Raw genomic sequence first — 23,275 nt, forward strand, 5'->3', positions numbered from 1 at the left:
CCTCCCCATCTCCCCACCAAGTCCCTGACTACTTAGGTGATAGGAAGTGAATGGTCTCCTGACCTTGAACCTTGACCTCAAGATTTATTTTATTCCATAAACATATAAATGAAATATAGCCTGATAGTGCAAAAGAGCGCCGACCCTTTCTTTGCCTAACATCAAAGCATGCTTAAGTGTGAGACGTGATAGGACTGAGTGAAAGACAAAGTCGTTAGACACGTTGCATGTTATTTTCTGAACAAAAACAGATCCCAAGATGTTTCAGGGAGACATAAACTGCCGAAGAAGAGCCTAATTTCATAATATTAGACAAATGGAGAAATTTTTTCTTGATTACAAATAACAGCTTGTGCCCTGAAGGAGGATAGATGTTCAGGTTAGAAGAAAATGGCGTTTTGTTCCAGCCAGTCATTTAGAACCTTCTCCCAGAGGGTCTTTGCCACTTAATCTATGGGCCACTTAACGTGCAGAAGAGTTCTTGTAGTTCTAAACTTAATGTAACAAAAAATAGAATGGTGATTACCTGTAGGGAAGGGGACCAGGTTGCCATGTCCTTTGACATCTTTGGAATATGGTACTATATGATGCATTGACTAAATGGGAGACTTGAGAAGGCAATCATGTATGTCAGTATATGAACTTGATATCCCCTCCATCACATTTGTAATATGAATACATTGATCATCTTCAGTCTCCAAGTTCATGCACCTTAAGGAATTATGGTGTTGTTTTTTGTTTTATTCTGTAACACCAGTTGCTCAGAATATTTCTTAGCAAAATGGGGTATGAGGAAGAGTGAAGAGTATCCCAGGGGAACTTAGCCATTGCCTTTAGCTGCCAACACTTCATTTGGAGATGCCAGCTGATTATTTATGAACTGTGGAGATGGACTGTAAGACAAAGTAGACCTTAATAGGTCAGATTTGGTCTGGCTTTAAGACAGACCTTTTTGAGAGTGGGAATTGGGGAGTAAAATTTTTTTTTTACTACCATCCCTTTCCTTTGATTGCAAGGAGGGGTTTGGTGGTGAAAAATGCCCCAGGTATCTGCAGCAAGGGCAGGTTTGAAAGGGTGGATTCACTGATGCCCCTAACCCGATTCTGCTCATAGACTCACTCCTTGTTCCGGGGACTGCTGGCCTGCCACTTCCTGCTCACAGTCGCAGATGGGGCTTCCTGAGTCTGTGCACTGTCAGTCAGAGCTGAGATGCTAGAGGTGAGCTCCTCCCTCAACCCCAGGTCACTAAAGGGGCCTCTCAGTTCTCTTCATCCCTACTTGAACTTCCTCATGGTTATATTCCCTTTTGTGATCTATCACTTGCCATTTTTTATAATTTGGCTTAAGTGGGTAGACTAGAACACTTGTGACCATGTCTGACAGAATTCTCAAGAGGGTCTTCACCATGAGAGGCACCTTCTCGGTGTGGCTGGCCTGGCTTCCCAGTGTGCATGAGTCATGGACGTTGACCTGGTCAAAGCTCTTCCTCCTGCAGTACTGGAGCAGTGCATTCTCCTTCCTGTCTCCCTCTCTTCATTCTTTTTTCCATATGTTCATTCATTTTCACTTTGTCAAATTACACCCAATAAAAATGCCAATGCATACAAATTTGAAAATAGAAAAGATGAGATTCACCCATCATCTCAACACCCGAACACAACAGCTCTTACACTTTTACATTTTCCCAATCATGACTGTTTTCCATATGTGCGCATCAGACGAGTTTTCGGCCCTTACATAGAGAAGTTGGTATATGCTTTGCATTGTCATCCCTTGGTCTTGGGGAGGGTTTTTTAACCTCTGCACTACTGATATTTTGGGCCTGGTAACTCTTTGTCCTGTGCATTATACGATGTTTAGCAGAATCCCCGGCCTCTACTCACTAGATAGCAGTAACAACCTTCCTACCGTGCACGCGCACAGACACACACATACACGCACACACATGACAACTAAAAATATCTCCAGTGCCCCCTTGGTAGGCAAAATTGCCCCCAGTTTGAGAACCACTGGGATTTTCTTTAATGGAGAATGTCTTATGCTTCTTATAAAAAAAGTTTCATAAAATTGTACTTCATTTTATGTTATGAGCAGTGGGGAGAAGGGATAGAACACATCACAGGAGGAGGTGTTCTAGTGGGGGCTCTTGTCCCAAGGAACAGAGAGACCCACTTGTTCAAATGTAGGACAAGCTGGACAAATTAACCAGGCTTTGGAAAGAGCAGGAACTGAGGCAGTTGAAGGGTCTGAGCTTCACTCTTTCCATGGTGTCACCACTTCCCTATTCCATTTCATTTTCTCACACTTATTCTGTCTCTCCCCACCTTCCCACCATGTCGTTTCTGCTCTTTTTTGTCTTATACAGAGTTCAGAATACCCCACCTGGGCCCCGAGTCCACATGACCTTCACTGTCCAGCAATCAGCACCAACTTCAAGTCCCTTGTGTTATTCTGATGGTCTCAACAAAGGGACCGGATTAGCCCAACTCAACTTTTCCTGCTAGATCAGAGGCAGTTGGTGGATGGGCTCCACTTGAGTCAGATGCTGCCCAGGGTCTAGTTAGCCACGTGGGTCAGGTGGACAGGCCTCCGGCCTTCTCCTATATGTCAGTAGGTTTACTGTTCTTACACATCCTTCTTTATTTTCTCTTTCACCTGAACTACGTAGCTGCTGATTTAGGCACCACCACTTCTAGCCTTCCTTAAACTTCATGCAAAGAGATGTGCCATAAATACATTTGCCAATTGATTCTTGAGTTCTTGTGCTGTGGAAAACATTGGGCTAATTGCTGTGGGGTCATAAGGGTATGGAGGCAAGATTCTGGGGTGTTTGTTTGTTTTTGTGTTTTGAGACAGGGCTTTGTTCTGTTGCCCAGGCTGGAGTGCAACTCCTAGGCTCAAGTGGTCTTCCTACCTTAGTCTCCCAAGTAGCTAGGACTACAGGCATAGGCCACCACACTTGGCTAACTTTTTTTTTTTTTTTAATAGAGATGGAGGTCTTGCTTCGTTGCCCAGGCCGATCTTGAACTCCTGGCCTCAAGGGATCCTCCCTCCTTGGCCTCCTAAAATGTTGGGATTACAGGTGTGAACCACTACACCTGGCCAAGATCCCGGTTTTTATGGAGCTAAATAACATGCGAAAAGTGAAATAGCAATAAAAAATATGATGTAACAAGGCTGGTTAAGCCTAATGAATGGCCTTCCCAGTTTCTTGCATGTAATTAACACTCAGGAAACTTTGATTGACTTGAAATGGAAGGTACCCATCATCCAGGGCTGCAGATTCAGAGGAAAGAGGCCTTCAGTCTGGGAAAGTTTACCAAGGAAACCGAATAGCAAGCTGTGTATGTCTGTCTCCCTTCTAATCCCTTATGAATGGGATGTACACAGTCCCAACTCTAGTTAATGTGTGTGAACTACCTGTCATAGAAACTCAGCTTCCAAAAACTGTTGCCAGGATAGACCCACTCATGGTGGGTACTTTAAGACAAAGGGAATTTATCTCAGGATACACCTGAATCAAAACTGGAAAGCTCTTCAGAACTGAGGGAAGGTCTAAGGGCCAGAGACCCTCAGCCTCTGGGTGCCTCTGGCTCTGTTTCTGTCCTTCCTTCTGCTGGCCAGTCTGTATCCTCTACTTCCCCACCATACACACATTAACATCTCTTCTCTTTCTACATTACCTGCAGTCTTTTCTAGCCAGTCTGCTTCATTATCCAGTGCAAATTCTGGAGGGAAATAGCCTGACTGACTGAGCTAAACACCATCATGCCTTTCAGGCAGATCCCCTTGCATCAGGCTGCCTCCTGGGGTGCTGGGCCACCTGCACATGGACCACCGTTGGGTTAAGAATCCATTGTCAATCTCACTAGGGGCCACTTATAAAACAGCCCAGCCCTACTCGCCAGAGCAGGAAGCCCTCGGCAGAGCAATTTCAACCTGGAGGGCTCATCAGATTTTTTACACCGCCTTCCTCTTTCTCCGACCTGCCACCGGTCAGCTCCATGTGTAGAACTCTGTGTAACTGCAGCTTATTGTTGGCTCATTCTTAGCTTTTATTCTCTATTTGCATTTAAACTTTTCTAGGCTATTCCACATGATGGAAACTCCTTAGAGGCCTGTGGCATAGTAAGTGCTATGGTTTGAATGTTTGTGTTCCTCCAAAATTCATGTCAAACAGGAATCTCTATTGTGTTGGTATTAAGAAACGAGGCCTTTGGGAAATGATTAAGTCATGAGGGCTCTGCCCTCATGAATGGGATTCGTGCCCTTATAGAAGAGGCTTCAGAGAGCTGCCTGCTCCTTCCATCTCTTCCACCTTGGGGAGGACACAGTGTTCGTCCCTTTTGTCCTTTGTCCCTCCGCCATGTGAGGATGAGTAAGAGGAGCCAACTATGAAGTGGAGAGAGACAGCCTTCACCAGACACCAAATCTGCTGGCACCTTGATCTTCGACTTCCCAGCCTCCAGAACCGTGAGAAATGCGTTTCTATTGTGTATTAATTACTCAATCTAAGCTACTTTGTATAGTGGCAGGAACAGATTAAGACAATAGCTCATTTTCGTCTTCCTGCAATGTTTATATCAGTGGAGGGAGACTTACTACATAATGCTTGCTGGATGGTTAACTAGTGCTTCTTCCTTCCTTAGAGGAACTGTTATTCAATGACTGGAAATAGTTTATGAGAAGTAGAGTCCACGTAGTTTAGTGGAAGAGCTCAGAATTTAGAATTGGAAGGCATGGGTGAGTCCTGACTTTCACACCTTAGATGTGTGATGTTGGGACTTTTGGAGCCTTAGTTTCCTCATCTACCACCAGGAGTAATGTCATCCATAAATGGTAGCTAGGAAAACTAGATGACACTATCTATGTGAAATGCTTTGAAAATTTAAGACAGTTTCCAAAAAACGAGTTAGCTATTAGAGTAAAAAGCCAGTGTCATAGTCAATCTAACTTGTACTTTAAAATAAAGAATAACCTCAGTACAACTGGGAGCCTTGGACTTGGCAGCCAAATGCATATAACTGGGAAGTTGGGATAATGAAGGGAAACAGAATGAGACTTTGTATAAAACTGTCATTTGGAAATGATGCATGTTATTCCTGCAATTTAAGGAGGAAATTTTTAATTAAAAAAATACTTGTAGGCCGGGCACGGTGGCTCATGTGTGTAATCCCAGCACTTTTGGAGGCTAGGGCAGGCGGATCACGAGGTCAGGAGTTTGAGACCAGCCTGACCAATGTGGTGAAACCCCGTCTCTACTAAAAATACAAAAATTAGCCAGACGTGGTGGCACGCGCCTGTAATCCCAGCTACTCAGGAGGCTGAGGCAGGAGAATTAATTGAAGCCAGGAGGCGGAGGTCGCAGTGAGCTTAGATCATGCCACTACACTCCAGCCTGGGTGACAGAGCGAGACTGTGTCTCAAAAAAAATAAATAAATAAAATAAAGACTTTGTAAAGTGGCATCGATGCTGGTCAGCAGAGTTATATAGCCAGTCTGGGTGTTCTCTGGGTCCTGTGTTGGGAAAATGCTGTGGACAGTGGCAGATGAGATGACATTTCTGGTTTGCAAATCACATCCTGGTCTTATTCCTCTGGACAGAGCCAAATAAGTGCAGTTATCTGAACTTAAAGATAGCCTAGCGCTGAAAAGCCAATGACAGCTAATCTTGAGAGAGCCATGGGTACAGGGAGCTTGTCAGAAGTTGTGTCTCCTTGAAATTGGCAGCATGCAGTACCAAGGGGATGGCCAGACACTGCCAGGCCTCTTTAAAACTCTCCTGGCTGCTTCCTTTTCTTTTCCATTTTTATTGTAATGCTGGTGATGTGGGTATAAGAACTTTTGTTGTGGTGGTTCAGACAGCCGAAAAAGCAATTCTCACAAACTGTTTTTAGCCTGGATATCTGTTTTCCCCTTCTTCCTTTCTCTTTCCTCCTTCCCCAAGCTTTCTTTTAACAGCTTACGATGGGTGCATCTCATTCCCATCACATAGCAGCCCTGCTTGACACCAGCATTAGATGAATTAAATCACAGTTTGTTCAGTCCCCAAACACCTTGTTCCTCCTTGTTGCCCTGCACATCACCATTTGCCTAAAGATTCTTCGGGATTCCCTTCAGTGCTGTCCTGGCAGGGACCCAGGAGTAGTGTCTCTGCAGAGAGAAGGGCAGAGGCAGAGAGACTGCTTGCTCAACAGCAGCTAGGCAGGGAGAGAAGCCGGGCGCTGAAGGAGCTGTATCTTCAATGTTCTGCTGTTGCAATGCACACCTTCATGAAATCCTTTTTAACTTTCACTTAGCGGTTTTCAGCGAGTCTTTGGCTATTGTCTTCCCTTGGCATCCTGGGCACCTTTTTGTAGTGTGGCGATGGAATGCTCTCTTTCCAAGATGAGGGATGAGAGTAACTCACATCCTTTGATGTTCCCTGCCCCACCCCCTCATGATTAGATTCAAGCAAGTTAAACACACACCAAGAGCAACCTGTGACATGATATAAGTCACAGAATTGCTGGCAGAAATGGGGTAGGGTGGGGCGGCCCCGCCCCCGCCCCCTCATTTTGGGCAGTTATGAGTGACACTCTGAATTGTTCGAGGTTTTTAAACTTGTGCCCTCCGTTCACAAGATCACTTCTTTCTGGCTACCACCCAAATTCGATGTCCAGAGCCAGCATGGGAGTCTGCCCCTCATCCCCGCCTAACTCACTGTCCATCCACCTGTGTCTCCTGAGTTCTTCCCATCCCACACATGGCTCAGCCTTGAATGTACCATAGCTCCCACAGTTAATGATATTGTCTTGAAAACGAAGAGATTTATGAATTTGGATACATCCTGGCCCCTTCAGAGGGACCATTATCTTGACTGTAGATCTTGGAGTTAGGTCTCTAAAGACAGGCCTGTGATTTGTGAGAAAGTCTCAAGGATATGCAGGTAACACCTACTGGAGTCACGCTTCACCAGTTCACATTTCTGAGCAGCACAGACAGGTCTGGCAGTCTTGGGCCTCACGTTGCTGGTCTTCTCCAGAGCAAGAAACAAGCTGGGCTCCAGGATCACACAAGCAGGGCCGCGACTGACACAGGGGTGCAGGCTGAGGCAGCTCCCATGTCTCTTGTGCTAATTCTTTTCTTTAATTTGCTCATAACTGAGGCTTGAGTAGCAGCCAGGAGGGTGAACCAAAGAAGGCAAGGGGCCAGCATAGACAGGGATGAGGTCAGCCCCGGGGGGAGGGACTGATGATGTGCACAGATGTCTGCCAGGGGTCCTAATGGCACCCAAGATCCTGGGTGTCTGTCTTAGGAGGGATGTTTGGTAGAGAGACAAGTGGCCAGTGGACACTGTGGATATGTGTGGTGGGGCAGATGAGTGGTCACAGAGAAATAAGGCTTAGGGGGACAGCGATCCAGTCATTGGCAGAGTGGAGTCCTAGGTAAGGCCCAGTTACAGAGGAATGTGGAGGCCACAGCCTGGGATGCGGGACTCTGCTGTTACAGCAGAATCATCAGCAAGGCTGCCCGCCTGCCCTGATGGTGAGCCGCTGGCCAGGCTCCAGATGGTCTCTCCGGAGAGGTGGGACTGGGCTTGGAATCACAAGGCTGAATCTCAGATGCGCAGGTGGTGGGGATGGTTAAGTTAGAACATCCAGGCATCCAGCAGGTCTTTACAGAGGCTTCAGCTGGTTTTTTGCTTTGTTTCTGTTTTGTTTAATAGTGTACAGCTTCATAGTGATCTACATATTCATGTATGGTTTAGAGCCAGGGAAGGTGTTATCATGATTGGAATTTAATTGGGTGTCTAGTAAGGAAAAAGCAAGGTAGAATGTTCCATGACATTTACAGGAAGAAGATAATGCCTGAAGGAGGCCTGGTACGAATGAGGGAATCCCTGTTTTCTAGTGGGAACTACCTCAAGGAAAAGGCACTCATCAGACACGTAGGAAATGAGTTCTCAGACTCAGACATCCCCAGCCTGCAGGTCCAGATGAGGGTACGTAATAATGTTCATACTCAGATATCCCAAGTGCATCGCCACCTACCTGCTGTCATGGATCCCAGTATCCCGCAGAGCCCCCCAGAAGTATTTCTGTAGGTCCCAGGGGGTGTCCACAGCAAGCTAACTTCCACTGGACATGACAGTGACTCCCATTGGGCCCCCAGGGGACACCACCGTTGAGGCTTTGGGGCCATCATGGTGTCCAGTGGTATTTCAGAGCTGTACGTTTCCCCACTGTCAACTTGTCACCTGGGACTTAAGCAACTCAGCTTTGAGCCCCGCCTTTCTACCAGCCTTGCAAAGCCCCTCTCCCACATCCTCCTTAGGCTTTCCCTCCAGGTAAACCCATGCAAATAAAGGTTTGGATATTTCACCTCAGACCTGGTTAGATCTCAGTTTTGACTAATTTCTTTTCCATGGGAGCACAGTTCAGAGATGAGGACAAAATCAACAAAATTCCAGTTACCTAATAATCTTTTGTGAACATAACTATAGTCATGCATCACTTAACGACGGGGATACATTCTGAGAAATTCGTCATTAGATTTTGTTATGTAAGTATTATGGAGTGTACTTACACAAACCTAGAAGGTGCAGCCTACTGCACACATAGGCTGTATGGGGTACAGTGTAGCCTATTGCTTCTAGGCCACAAACCTGCACAGCATGTTACTGTATTGAATACTGTAGGGAGTTGTAACACAATGTTAAGTACAGTATCTGAACATATCTAAACATACTTCATAAAAGTGGCAGCGTAGTAGGTTTGTTCACACCGCATCACCACAAATGCATGAGTAATGTGTTGCTCTGTGACTTTACACTGATGATAATGTCACTGGGTGATAGGTAGCTTTCAGCTCCACTATAATCTTATGGGACCATCATTGCATATGCAGTCTTTCTTTGACTGAAATGCCGTTGTGCAGTGCATGACTGTATTTTATAAGATGAGCCTAATTTGTGTTATACTTCTCGGGAATGAAGGCATACCCTGCAGTAGGTTTTGGATTCTGTGTTTGACAGATGTGGCTGCTTTTCTTTGCTTTCACTTTCCCCTAAAGGAAATAACAGTAGTAAGATGAAGAAAGAGGAAACTAGTAGTGAAAATTAAGCAGGTGAAATATTTATATAAGGCAGGACAGCTGTGGTCTAGACATTTACACAGAATTTTACTAGAGTAATTGCTTATCTCAGAATTCATTCAATATGCTAATTTCTCGTAGCAGATTGCCTGTCCGGCAATGCACATGGCATACAATTTTTGAAATTCTGCAGTGATGATGGAATAAGCATTTCTAACCCATTTCTCTGTTATAGCAATTGCCACATTGCCTGGTGTTTATACGTCTTTTCATCACTGCACTGAGTTACTATCAATTACTGGGTCTTTAGCTTTCTACTATATTTGGGATATAGAACAGAGTAAGTACTCAATACGTATTTTTGATGAATTAATGATAAAGAGAAAGAAATTCCATCAACAACGTATGTTATATTGTTTTTTCTCCAGAGGTAACTAACCTAACTTGATATATAGGCCACAACTTAACCTCAGTTGGCAGTGTTTTCCAGCTAGGTGACCAGAACTCTTTACTATCCATTATGATGATTTCTTGAAAGGGAGAAACTGACTAGGGTGGAGAATACTCCTTAGAAACAGAAGTTGGGTCCTAAGTAAATTGATGATTTAAAAATTATTTGGTGCAGGCCAAATATTCAGATAGGGAAAAGGAAAAAAGGAAACAAAAAGAGAAGGGATTTTAACGAGGTTGGTCATATCCTATACAAAATACAGTTTTAAACTCTTTAGCTTCCAGGAGCAGAAAACTGTAGGAAGTATGTAAATTATTCACGGTTACCTGGGAAACCCTTTCTGACAGGAACGGGGGAGATCACAGGGTTGGATGGAAATTCAAGCAGTCAAATTGTAATGTGTTTGTGTGTAAGTTTGCTTGTTTGTTTGCCACAGATGAGGAACAGGGAAAATTTCTGAAGGAAGGTAACATGAAAGGAAGAAAAAAGCTTGTCTGTACAGGGAAGGCAGAGAAACTTCAGGTCTCTTGAAGGTGTAATTTCCAAACCACTCTGTCCCTAGACCATCCTATTTGGAGTGACAGCAATAGTGGACCTCTGACCCGGGCTGTCAGAACCCCTTTCTAGAAGCAGCTTCTTCCCGCAAAGGCATGGTCAGTAAGGGAGCCTCCACGTTGGCAGAGTGGGACTCCACGCTTTGGCCCCGTGGACAGATCTGAAGATGGGCACCCAGCAAAGCTGGGCAGGCGAGGCCTCTTCTCTGTAATGTTTGGACAGAAAACCAAAGGGCGCTTGGATTACTCCTCCAGCGGCTGAAGCTGTGAGTACCTAGGAACCATCCCCGGCCACGTTTCCCATCAAGGGGAGAATGTGGTGAACAGAGATGAGAGATGGAGGGAAAGTGCTGGTGTGCCTGAGTCCCTGGTTCCCTGGTGTTCTGGCGCCCAGCCGCATGCTGCCCTTCCCACAGCCTGGTTATCCAGTCCTTCCTCAGATTCCCTAAGCCGGTGGTAACTCTCCTGTTGTTTAAGCTGGTTTGATGTGCACTGCCATCACCTGAGATCAAATGAGTTCTAAAACACATGCAATTGCAGACTTCAGGCACTGGCAGAGGACAAGAAGGAAGAGGTAAGAGGTTGAAGTGATCAGCTTCCCTCTGAGAGAACTCTGGAGCACCACAGGGTTGAGGCTGAGGTGACCATTTCAGTATGAACTGAAAATGGCTTTTTTCCTTATAGCTAGAACGGCTGAAAATCAGCACCATGTCAGGTTGTAACACATCTGTTCCAGGGATCACAGGATGTCCCATAAATGGGTTAAACACTTACCATGGGTGAGGCAGTTTGCCATCTGTGATATTTATGGTCTGAGATATAAAAATAACTTTTAAAAAATGAGTGCTTGTCCTCAAGAAGCTCACAGTCTGATAGGAGGTATCACATAGGTATATGTGATTCATTGTGAAAAAATGTCTTAAATTAGAAACGTGTCACCATGATTTCAAACAGGGGTAGCACCTTACTTTGCCTTATATACTCAAGAAATGTTTGCGGATTGTGGTTCAGCTGAATCTTGAAAAACAAATAGGAATTTGATATGGAAGGGGCCTAGAAATTTCAGGTAGAATGTATATGTCTGTCTTTGTACATGTTGCCCACGTATACAGACAGAAATGTAAGAGTGAAGTAGTGTGAGCAGCATAATAGGGAGGATGGGAGAGTTGGGAAAACGAGGCTGAGGAGATGAGGGGCTAGATCCTAAAGCCTGTATTCCCTTATAAAAATGTGGGCTTTCCTGGTAGAAAATGTGGAGAGTCATTAAATAATCCTACTATGTGCAGTTTTTAAATGATTACCTATCTTAACTTTGTTGGCCAAGGGTAAGGTTGGTGGTTGGAAAACAGGTCAAGGAAAAATTTAATAAATAGTCTGAGTGACAGGAGATGAGAGTCTGGGCTGAGTTAGTGCCGGGGGCCTTGTGGGGAGAAGCTGACAATATAAAAAAAAAGACAGGAGCTCAAATCTATGGGAAACGGGGCCAGTTCAAAGGAGAGATCGTGGGGATGAAGAAACCACATAACTCTCAGAGTCCTGACCTGTGCGGCCAAGAGTTTGGTGGTTGGAATGGAGATGAGGATTAAGTAGGGGCAGCAGTGCTTTGGTGGAGAAGATGATTTAGTGACTTTTGGACTTCCTGAGTTTGAGGCAGGACACAGGGGAATGTTACCCTAAGAGCTCAGCAGAGAGAGGCCAGGATTGGAACGTGTACTACTCTTGACCACTGGAGCTCCAGACATGACCCAAATGCCTGGTGAATGTCTAGAACAGGTGAAGAGCAAGGTGAGGAAAGGACCCGAGGGAACACCAAGGTTTAAAGGATGGTGGAGACAGTGAGTGAGGAACTAAGAAGGGAGACCCAAGAGATGGAAGTCAAAGAGCAGAGGCTGGGAATGAAAGCCATTGGAAGGTACAGTCTCTTGCAGGAGTGAGACTGTAGTGTCATCAGAAAACAAGCGCAGACCACATGGATTTGACAATGAGTAGTCTTCTAGTAGTCAGTTCAATGGTAGAAAAATACTTTGGATGATCATGTTTCTTTAAATATCCCACCCGTTGTGTCTTTACTTGTATTTATTCCACAAATGTTCATAACTAGAGAATACTTGATTTAATGGATTTATGCAAAGGGTTGGTGTCTCATGGAGCAAGCAAAACGTCCTGACTCTGGAAACCAGACCTGCCTCTTCATACTTATGTGTCTGGTAATAGGCATTTGAAATAATACTGCAGGGAAGTTTCACGTTGCTGTCATTTACCCGTTCTGATTTTCCTTCCTCGTATAGCTCACTTGAAGGGTGGGATAAGATGGCTGAAAGCGCTCCTGTCAGCCCTCTCTGAGAAGGGAGAATTACACAGACGTGATGATTGGCTATCAGAGTTCCCCAGCACTGGGGTGGCCCACTTAAGACAAGCCTCATTAAATTCACTTCATCAAGTAAAGCCGGTGTGTCTAACTTAAGAAAGAATGTGGCATGCAAATTAAGACCTGAAAATATGAATGGAGTCTGAGCGATGCTTTGATCAGCATTTCTTAATATGGCACATGGGGGAGAAAACTTCTTAAAGTTGCATTTACTTCCCCTCAGTTTTGTATGGCAGGGGAATCTGTTCACCTGCTACCTAGAATTGCCTCCTCCAAAGGAGAAACCCACTCCTTGGGAAGCAAAGTGCAATACAATACCAAGTATGCACAATTTGAAATTAGACTTGACCTCCACTCACCTCACAAACTAAAAACAGCCTCCCCAAAATAAGAGAAAGAAAGCTGGGAAAGGAAGGTGTGAGGAACATATTGCTGGGAAAACAGATAAGAGTTGATTATATTTAGAATTTTTTTCAACCCAGATTGAATCAATGAATACCTATGCATTGAACATCTTAGTTTTGGGATTCCTACTGCAGGAGAATCTATTTAAATATGAATCCCAAATAAATTTATATCATGTCTGATATAGGAATAAATCTGGCAATATTAAACAGATCAAATTCTCAAGACAACTAGTCTGAATGGAAGCTATTCTTAGCATAGTTTAAGTAAAGGAGATCAATATAGATATTCAAGATTGAAAAATCCTAATAGTTAATAGAAAAACAAAATTCAAGGTCCCTCTAACCTTCAAAGCCGAGCTGTTTCAAGTGCTTCTCAAGAAACAAATGTCTCTTAGAGAATGTAGCCAGGGCCCTCTAAGGCAGGTGTGCTCCTGCATCCTGTCTGTGTGGAGTCCTTCTTCCATGACTGGAATTGTCTGAGATCTTGGATACCACTCTGCCCCACAGGCAGCTTCACTCAGCCAGTGGCTGGACCAAGTGGAGGTCGGAAATTGAACCCTGTACCATGTGACCCGCTTTATGCATTTTACATACTGTAATTATACTGCTTGACTATTTTAAATAATATTTTTACTTAAGTTTCATGCTTCTTGCAATAAAAGGAGAATTTTTTTTCCTTCTCAAGCTATAATGTAAAAATGTCAGGGCAGTTATTATACTCATAGTTGCAAATTTGTTTAATTAAAATTACACTCAACTGTTCTGACACATTTTTAAGCAACTGTGAAAAATAGCTATTATGATCTGTTGGTATGCTTCCTTGAGTGGCTAATAATTTTGTTAGATCATGATTTAGTTCTTTTTCATCGGTAAATATGAAAATTAAAGTTAGATAAAACGAGCCATAATTTCAAACTTTGTATTTGTTTATCAGTTGGGCTTTTGAATTAAGTTTTAAAAATCACTTTTTCACCCTATGCCCCAATAAAAATTCAGAAACTGTATCTGTTAAAATGTCCCGTAGGTGTATTCTGTGGAAAAATAGATCCAAAAAATTCATAGCAGATTATAGGAGGAGAATCTCTTCACAGGCGAGACGTGCTCTACAGGCGTTTCAACTCTGAATCCGAGGTCTCAGATTCAAGGATATGCTACAAATCTATTTTAAGTTGTTCTCCATTCAGTTGCTGACACTCTAGAAGGGCCATTCCAAACTTTTTGTGGTGAGATGGGAAGAGTGTTCTTTTTTCTTTTTTTTTAAATGAGATGAAATTCACATGACATAAAGTTAGCCATTTTGAAGCGGGCAATTCAGTGATACTTAATGTAACGACCACCGCTATCTAGTTACAAAATATTTCCATTACCCAGAGGAAGCCGCATACCCATTTAGCCCACCCACTCTTCCTTCCTTCCCTTCTTCCTTTCCCTTCCTCCTTCCCCCTTCCCCCTTCCCGCTTCTTCCTTCCTTCCTTTCCTCCCTCCCTCCCTCCCTTCTTCCTTCCTTCCTTCCTTCCTCCCCTTTCTTACCATCCTAATGAGTGTGAAGTGGTGTCTCATCGTGGTTTCAATTTGCATTTCCCTGATGACTAAATGATGTTGAACATCTTTTAATGTGCTTTTTGGCCATTTATGTACTGCTTTGGAGAAACATCTGTTTAAGTCCTTTGCCCACTTTTCAATTGAGTTCTCTCTTTTTTGTTCAGCTGTAAGAGTTCTTAATATATTCTCAACACTAGACCCTTATCACTCTAAACTTTTCATTGCCTCCTAACCTCTCGAAAGTGAAGAATTCTTTCCTTCCTTCCATCCTTCCTTCCCTCCCTCATTTTTTCCTTCCTTCCATCTTTTCTTATTTTTTCTTTCCTTTCTTTGCTTCTTACACACTGAGAGTATTGGATTTTTGTTATTAGAAGTAATGGGTTTTTATTTTAGCAAAGAAAGATATAAGGAGTAAAATTTAAATTCCCCATCATCCTACCATCCAGAGAGTTTGTTTTGTTTTAGAGACAAGATCTCACTATGTTGCCCAGGCTGAACTTGAACTCCTGAACTCAAGGGATTCTCCTACCTCAACCTCCTGAGTAACAAGGACTACAGGTACATGCCACCATCCCTGGCTTTTTTTTTTTTTTTTTTTTTTTTTTTTTTTGTGACAGAGTCTCGCTCTGTTGCCCAGGCTGGAGTGCAGTGGTGCGATCTCAGCTCACTGCAACCTCCGCTTCCTGGGTTCAAGTGATTATCGTGCCTCAGCCTCCCAAGTAGCTGGGATTACAAACATGCGCCACCACACCCAGCTAATTTTTGTATTTTTAGTAGAGATGGGGTTTCACCATGTGGGCCAGGCTGGTCTTGAACTCAGGTGATGCACCCACTTCAGCATCCCAAAGTGCTGGGATTACAGGCGTGAGCCACCACGCCCGGCACCTGGCTTACCAGAGATAAGTTTTATATCCTTTTTCTAGTCTTTTTAAAAAATGTATAGGATAAACTTGCATACGTATATACTAAGAAAATTCTGCCATTGTCATATACTATTTTAATATTTTAACCCTTTTTTACATGGCAAAATTATAGCTATTTGCATCTATTTATCAGAGCATTTGTTATGACTGGTGAAACAAAATATTTTCCTATATTTGTTAATCATTTGTATTCCTCTCTTAATTGTTCAAGTCTTTTTTTGCCCACTTTTTCTGTTGGCATTTTACAAACAGTAAAAATCTCTTATCAATGATTAGCTAATTATATACCCAAAATACTAGTCCATTTTATCTCATATTTGTTACAAATTTTTCAAGTTGTTATCTGCCTTTTATTATCCTTCATCATATGTGGGGCATAAATTTATTTTATATTTTTTGTTTTGTCATATCCAACATTTTTTTCATCAATTTTTGTCCATTGCTTTTACATGCAAGAAGTTCTTATCCATCAAAAGATTATATAAATATTTACTTACATTTTCTCTTAAGTTGTTTATTATTAAACATTTTTTTCTAGTTCCATCTGGAATTGTTATTAAGATATTGTGAGATGAGAGAATCAAACTTTTATTTTTCTAAACAGTTAACCAGCTTTCCTGATACAATTTATAGGACAGATAATTTACAATAAGTGAATCTTTTACAAAAGATACAAAACCAATTATTTTGCTCAATTTTTTTATTTTTATTTTTGAGACAGAGTCTCGCTCTGTCACCCAGGCTGGAGGGCAGTGGTATGATCACAGTTCACTGCAGCCTTGACCTTCCGGGCTCAAGCAAGCCTCCTGTGTCAACCTCCTGAATAGCTGGGACCACAGGTGTATACCACCATGCCCAGCTAATTTTTGTTTTTTGGTTTTTTTGTAGAGATGAGGTCTTGCTGTGTTGCCCAGGCTTGAGAGCCCAGGCTGGGCTCGAACTCCTGGGCTCAAGCTATCCTCCCACCTTCACCTCCCAAAGGCATGAGCCACAATGCCAGGCCTTGCTCAATTTTTAAAATAGTACTTTAGGTACCAGCTGTATATGAAGCAATTCATTTGTGGTTTGTTTTGCTTGTGCTCCTATTCTTAGCAAAAGATAGCCTTACTCTCATTTCAGAGCAGAGTAGCCCACGTGGCAATCCCCTAGTCCCTTTTTTGGAGGCCACAGTGTAGCCAGAAGTAACTGGAATGCAAAGCCTCTGTGTGCCCTTCGACCCAGCTAAATCATTCCACGGGCAGATTGATCAATTTCCTGAGCTTTCATCATGATTTCTGGAGTTCAGTTGTCTTGCAGTTGCTATACAATGTAGTTTTTGTCATATTCCCTCTTATTTCTTAATGTGTCCTGGAAGGAATGGAATATGAAGTCTTTGTAGAGTAGTGGCTACAGCACTGGCTTTAGAGGCCGCCCTGAGTGCAAGTCTTGGCTTTGCCACTTGTTGGCCGTGGAACCATTCGAGCAAGTTACTCACCTCTCTAAGCGTCAATTTCTTATCTTTGGGTTTAACAGTGAACCGACCTTAGAAGGTTATTTTGCACTGCCTGGTGCATAACAAGTGTCCAGTAAGTGTTATTGTTGATGGTGCTGGTTACATCCTAATGGTGAGTTTCCTCTGGGAAAAACTAATTGTAATTAAGTACAAGCATTAAATACAAACAAAGAACAGCCAAGTTTCTAATGAGCAAACTTTGTGTTTTATGTTTACTCTAGTTAAGCCCATGCTCAAAATAGGCACCTAGTTGCTGATGATAATTTACTCCAAACAATAAAATTACTTTCTTAAGGTCTAATTGTTTTTGATAGAAAAAAGAGGAAAAAATAATAAAGCAGGTTGAAGATGTCACAAGCTGGGAATAAAAGTTTGGTGGGTTTTTAAGATCTGAAAAAGAAATTTTTTTAACACCTTAAGGAAAAAAGTTGCAATATACTTTTGTTTCTTTTTTTATGCACAGTAAGTGTTATAGGATGCAGGTGACACATGTGCTGGTGGGGAAGTGAGGTAGAGGAAATGAGAAGGACGCCCCATGTAGAAAATGGCAGAATCGGAACACGCACCCAGCCCCTCTGTGTGCAGGGTGGCGTTGGATGAGACGTGCAGCCTGGCCAGGCCTCATGTCGTTGTTTCCCCAGGTTTTGATTTAGGCCCGAAGCCCACCCCATGGAGTCTACATGGCAAAGGGAGCCTGCAGAAGGCATGTGACATTTTGTATTTGCATTTGGAATTCAGTGAGCTGCTGATTTGATGATGGAAGCAAATACCAAGCAGTCACTGTCAGTGTTCATGAAATAAGAGATGTCAGCCATATTTCTAGGATATGACACTTTTGTATTATCTATTGGTATTTCAAAAAAAATGTTATGGTAAAAAAAATTTCCAAAACACATAAGCTACTAGACATCTGTTTTAGAATAGCACCGCTATACTCATTCACAAACAGCAGTTGTGTTTCTTGTGGGAGTGGCGCTTTAAAGAAGTGTAATAGGGTTTTGTTTTTTTTTTAATCAGCATTTCTCTTTGGAGATGTTAATGAGCATCCCCAAATTTAAAGTTCTAAATGAAATTATAACACTGGTTATTGCTAACAAAATGAGCAACTCTTCTAAGGAAGACTAAAAGGAAAAATCGCTGTGAAGTTCCCTCTATGTGATAGCAGGGTTGAGAAAATTTGATTACAGAACCTGAGCTTCTGCAGCGAAGGCCTGACAGTGTACGGTCGCTGTCTGGGGTGTCCACCCAGCTCCCGGTGATTCCCCCTTTGCTAGCAACTGCTTCTCCCTCCCAATCCAGAACTGTGGGCCCTGGCAGCCATTTTGTGCAGTGAGGCATCCTTTTACCCTGCAGTCTCTGCTGATTGGACCCGGACAGATGCTTGACCCACGAAGGAATTTACAATTGGCAATGATAGAGGTAGTCTTTCATTCCACAGTCACTTTCCACATTGTCTGTTTGCCTTGAGCAGCAGCAAGGCAAAGAATGGCAGTCTGCAGAGAGCAGAAGCAAGTTTCCCTTCAGAGGGAGGCAGAGAAGGGAGATGAGAGAGTCCAGAGGACATTGAAGTCCCCATTTCTGTGCCTCGCCTTCGTCTGCTGGCTTCTGAAACAAGTTCCCCACCTGGTCAAGCCACCAGGAGTAGCTTTCCACTACTTGCCCCGAGGAGTTCAGCAGAGGCACCCTGGGAGCACAGAGGTGTCCTGTTTCTGTCCCTTGAGAGCCTCTTCATTAGCCTAAGTGTCCACCTCGATCATTGAGTTACTCTCCCTGAGCCACTACGTTGACAGAAGCAGCTGGTGCGGCAAAGGGACCTCAGGTAGTGAGCACAGCGTGCCCCAGGGCCTCACAGGGAGAAACGCCACTGCAGGCACCAGATGGCAAGAAGTCCATAGAACATTCCGAGAAGAAGCAAAGCTCTTTGTTTTCCATAAACACTCTCAGTTGAAGGGGGCTTTAGGCAAGAGCATAGGAAGAAACCAGGATCCAGAGCCGAATAGATGCATACAGCCCTCCCGGCCTCAGTGGCGTGAGAGGCTCCTGACTTGCAGAGAAGAGAACCCAGAGCTGACAGGGAGCGTTCCAATTGCCAAGTCAGACGAGGCTCTCCAACCATTCCTGGTGAGGAGGCCTTAGATACCAAGAGCTTCATCTTCCACATATCACAACTAGGTAGTTGTATCTGATGGCATCTGGATTAACTGGGTAAAAATAAAAGCAAATCTTTCTTGAGGACAAGGATCACAGGCTCTAGCACCATGCCAAGGCTTTTGCACGCCTGGGCATCACTACGCCTTCACCACACCCATGACCCGTGCAGCGTTCCTGGCTGCCTTTCCTTTATGAGGCCACAGGTAAAGCAGCTCGCCCAGGGAGCCACAGCCTGTAAGTGACAGAGACAGCATCGCCCTCAGCAGTCAAAATCCAGGACCATATTCTTACCAAATTTCTATGTTGCTTCCAGCGTATTGATTTAATCACTTGTGAGCCTCTTCTTTTCATAAAAACCCAACTTGAAGACTTATGTATGAATTTGCTAGGGCTGCATAATAAACACCACAGACTGACTTAAACAGCAGAAATTTATTTCCTTACAGTCCTGGAGGCTGGAAGTCCAAGATCAAGGTGTGGGCAGAGTTAATTTCTCCTGAGGCCTCTCTTGTTGGCTGGTAGATGGTGTCTTCTCCCTGTATCCTCACATGATCCCCGCTCCGTATGTGTCTGTGTCCTCCACTTCTTATCAGGACACAAATCAGATTGGATTAGGCCACCCTAATGACCTCTTATCTCTTTAGATACCCTATCTGTCTCTCAATACAGCCACATTTGAGATACTGGCAGTTAGGACTGCAACATACGAATTTTGGGAGGACACAGTTCAACCCATAACAGATGCCTCCAGGGATTTTTATGGATAGCCATAAATTTCAGTCCATCTGACGTCCAAGGTGGGTGATGAAAGCCAGGAGAGCCCTTTTGGAACAGCGACTTCTGCCTGGGGATGCTGTGCCTTATACTGCAAGATGGTGCTGTCCAGTCACTCTCTGATCCTATATTCTAATACAGTACTTTTAAACAATGATATGCTTGGCTCTGCTAAGTTACAATGAAAAGAGCTACTACAGGTACTGGAGGCTTGCAGAGAGAATATACAAGCTGTTAGGGGAGACTTAAAACCATCCCGGGCCGGGCGCAGTGGCTCACGCCTGTCATCCCAGCACTTTGGGAGGCCGAGGCGGGTGGATCACCTGAGGTCAGGAGTTCCAGACCAATGTGGCCACCTTGGTGAAACCCCATCTCTACTAAAAATACAAAAATTAGCCGGATGTGGTGGCACGTGCCTGTAGTCCCAGCTACTTGGGAAGCTGAGGCAGGAGAATCGCTTGAACCCGGGAGGCAGAGGCTGCAGTGAGCCAAGATCGTGCCACTGCACTCCAGCCTGCCTGACAGAGCGAGACTCTGTCTCAAAAAACAAAAAAGAAAAAACAAAAACCATCCCAGTCTTCTCAGAGCAGGCCTCACTGAAAACTGAGGACTCTCAGGAGAGGCTGCCTTGCTAGCATTCCAGGAAGCCTGTTCCCATCCCCCCGGCTGTGGCTCAACCGCTGTGGGGTCTGGGCACTTGACGGGGCCTCCCTCAGTGGACCCTGCTGCTCCTGACGACTGTCTGTGGCATGTTCAGTTTCCTCGCGCGAGAGAATCTGATTGGTCCATAGAGCCACCACCAGGATAGGGGCCTCCACTGGGCAGAGCTCAGGCCACTCACAGCTGAATGCCTGGCACCCAGCCCTGGTGATGAGGTCCAAGCACAGACTTGTACAGGGGCCTTGGAGGTGGCAGGCACTCTAAAGCTGCTCATAGCAGCACTCATAACTGACTAGCAACTTGTATAGCCTGTCAACTACAAGATGAAGTCTCTGTCTTAAAGATATTTCTCTAAAATGCATGTACGGTGAAATTGATTGATGTAGTAGAAAGAGACCTGTGTTCTGACCCCAGCTTCTCTCTCATCTGGACAAGTTACTTAGCCTCTCTGAGCCACTGATGTAATAACCCTACCTTAAAAGCAGTATTATAAGTCTAAAATGAGTTGAAGTGCTTAAACGTACATCCACATATTTCAAAGCAAGGTACTGGATTTTTCATTTTGACATGTGTTTCTTCAGCCTTTCGGTGGCCAGCATATTCCCAGTGCCAGGGCCCAGTCTCTCTGCCTTTGCATTTCAAGTCCCATCATGGGAGTTACCACTTAACCAGAAGCCATATTGTTCTCAGTGATTATTTGAAATTTGCATATGAAATGTTACCATGTTTACACCCTGTACTTAAAAGAACTCCTAAAGATAGGCACTCATCTGGGAATCATGACAGATATCTTCAGGATACCTTTGGGGATTTTCAAGAATGAGAAGTAGATTTCTCTTGCTTAAGTAGAGGGGTGTGTTTCCATGGGGTCCTTTGCATAAATGCCCTATGGGAAACTCTGGTGCCTGGGAAAGGCCATATTCTGTTGTAAACTGGGGAATCAGACCTACCTTCCTCTCTTCTTCTATCCACATTTGTTCTTTATTTGCAAATGAGTCAGCTAAGAACAGTGCCAAGCGAGGCTCTTGAGTGTAAGCGCTTGAAAAGTGTCCTATTGTACTTACAACACTTCGTTGATGACCAGTGGCTGCTTACCACTGAAGATGGGGTCAGTGCCTCTGTGCTGGGGTCCCTGTTGCTGCCTGTCACATCCTGGGCATTGGCTGGAACCCAGAGGTCTTTGAAGAGTGACCTGCTTTATTCCACTCACTTCAGAGCATTAGTGCCCCAAGTGGGTCCCCTGCTTTTCCTCAGTGGTCTCTTTAGTAAATTCTCAGCTCATCTGGTGGGTTTCGGAAAAACGTTTTTTTAACATCGGGATCCATTTTGCCATATCTGTTCCGTTATTGCACTGAGCTTGTAAAAGTTGTATTCCCAAGATAATGTTTAACTTTTGGGGGAGTGTGTGTGTTTCAAGTCCCTTTTTCCTTTAATCATTTGAGGGAACTTTTGTCAGGTGTGTGTGTGTGTGTGTGTGTGTGTACCTGAGAAAACGCGCACACATGCCTGGATGCACACGTGTACACACGTACTTGCACATGCCATTGAGTGCCCATTCTGTATGAGGTCCCGTATTATGTACTGGTACTGTGGGAGGACCAAGGCTCAGAGCGTCTGACTTACGGGTTTAAGGTCTCACGGCCATTAAGCAGTCATGGCAGGATTAAAGGAGATGCAGCAGATCTGAATTGGCTTCATATCACGGCAAACACGGAAGCTAAATCTGCGAGTTGGCCACTCCCAGCCCGAGCTTCCCCCGAGTTGGAGCACCTAAATGTTACTCCTTCTAGGTCCCTATAACAGACTGGAGGCCTGGTTTGCTCACATAGTTACTGAGGAAGAAAAAGAAACATTTTGTCTGAGGAACGTGAGCTACCTCTAAATTATCAGGCCCAGAGAGGCATGGGATTGAGGCAGCGGCCACATCCCACTGCCCTTTTGAGCTAATTAATCATCTCTCGAAGCCGCCTGCTATGCGGCCTCTAGGCCGACTTGTCACAAGTAGCCACAAATTAACCTAACAATACTGCACACCAGACACCTGACCCATACCACATAGTTCAACTGCATATAGCCAATCACTAATCAATGCTATTTCTGTAAACTAATGAGAATTCCTGACAAACACCTTTCTGACACCCCACTCCTTGTCCCTTTTCTTGGCTTTTAAATCCTGCTTGTAACAAGGGTCAAATGGAATTCATATCCAAGGTTACTTGTGTCTGAGTCTTCTAAGAAGCTCTTATCTTGGCCCTAATCAACTCCCCTCTTATTGATTTTGCCTCAGTTTCTCCCTTTAGGTTGACATGGCTATGCTAATGGCAAAGCTTTCCTGACAAAGCCTCCCAGTGCAGGCTGGAGAGGAGGCCAGCTTGTCATCCTCTGGGGAAGAGGAGTACTGTGAGAATAGCAAACAGTTGTTCTGCAACATTGTCTTTATTTTCAGAACACCCTTCACTTCCCTGGGTGTGTTTCTTGCTCACAGTGGTATGCCATCACAGGGCCACTGAGAGGCAAGGGCACCAACTGATTCAGTTCACCAGGCATTTCTGGTGAACCTGCACTCTGTAAACTGCACTATCCGTTTCACGTGTCCCCAGTTTATTTTATTTTATTTTATTTTATTTTTTTGAGACATAGTCTTACTCTTTCACCGAGGCTGGAGTGCAGTGGCATGATCTTGGCTCACTGCAACCTCCACCCCCTGGGTTCAAGTGATTCTTCTGCCTCAGCCGCCCATGTAGCTGGGATTACAGGTGCCCACCACCACGCCCAGCTAATGTTTGTATTTTTAGTAGAGACAGGGTTTTGCCATGTTGGCCAGGCTGGTCTCAAACCCCTGACCTCAGGGGATCTGCCCACCTCGCCTTCACAAAGT

The 23,275-nt window shown here is 44.2% G+C and overlaps 1 protein-coding gene across 15 annotated transcripts in view, besides 3 other annotated features; it reads left to right on the forward strand.

Moving 5' to 3' along the window:
- FARS2 (phenylalanyl-tRNA synthetase 2, mitochondrial) overlaps positions 1-23,275 on the forward strand; it is a 521,650-nt gene that overhangs the window by 368,353 nt on the left and 130,022 nt on the right. The window contains exon 7 of one of the 15 annotated variants that reach the window (XM_011514247.4): positions 1,114-3,176. The exons of the other annotated variants lie outside the window; for them this stretch is intronic. Within the exon in view, the coding sequence (XP_011512549.1) occupies positions 1,114-1,216 (103 nt within the window). The 3' untranslated portion in view covers positions 1,217-3,176. Of the gene's footprint in view, positions 1-1,113; positions 3,177-23,275 lie in introns of those variants that run through there. 15 annotated transcript variants of the gene reach the window in all.
- Positions 8,864-9,133: an enhancer, noted in NCBI's record as "active region_23910". NCBI's record gives its function as "activates an Ori minimal core promoter by ATAC-STARR-seq in GM12878 lymphoblastoid cells {active_cell/tissue: GM12878}" and the evidence as "EXISTENCE:reporter gene assay evidence [ECO:0000049][PMID:35858748]".
- Positions 20,717-21,580: an enhancer, noted in NCBI's record as "NANOG-H3K4me1 hESC enhancer chr6:5639236-5640099 (GRCh37/hg19 assembly coordinates)". NCBI's record gives its function as "activates a minimal SCP1, AML or CMV promoter by ChIP-STARR-seq in naive H9 embryonic stem cells {active_cell/tissue: H9 hESC(naive)}" and the evidence as "EXISTENCE:reporter gene assay evidence [ECO:0000049][PMID:30033119]".
- Positions 21,326-21,546: a silencer, noted in NCBI's record as "fragment chr6:5639845-5640065 (GRCh37/hg19 assembly coordinates)". NCBI's record gives its function as "represses an EF-1alpha promoter that drives an FKBP-Casp9 reporter gene in an ReSE screen in phorbol 12-myristate 13-acetate-treated (for megakaryocytic differentiation) K562 erythroleukemia cells {active_cell/tissue: K562(+PMA)}" and the evidence as "EXISTENCE:reporter gene assay evidence [ECO:0000049][PMID:32094911]".

This window comes from Homo sapiens, chromosome 6, assembly GCF_000001405.40.
Source record: "Homo sapiens chromosome 6, GRCh38.p14 Primary Assembly".
Lineage (NCBI taxonomy): Eukaryota > Metazoa > Chordata > Mammalia > Primates > Hominidae > Homo > Homo sapiens.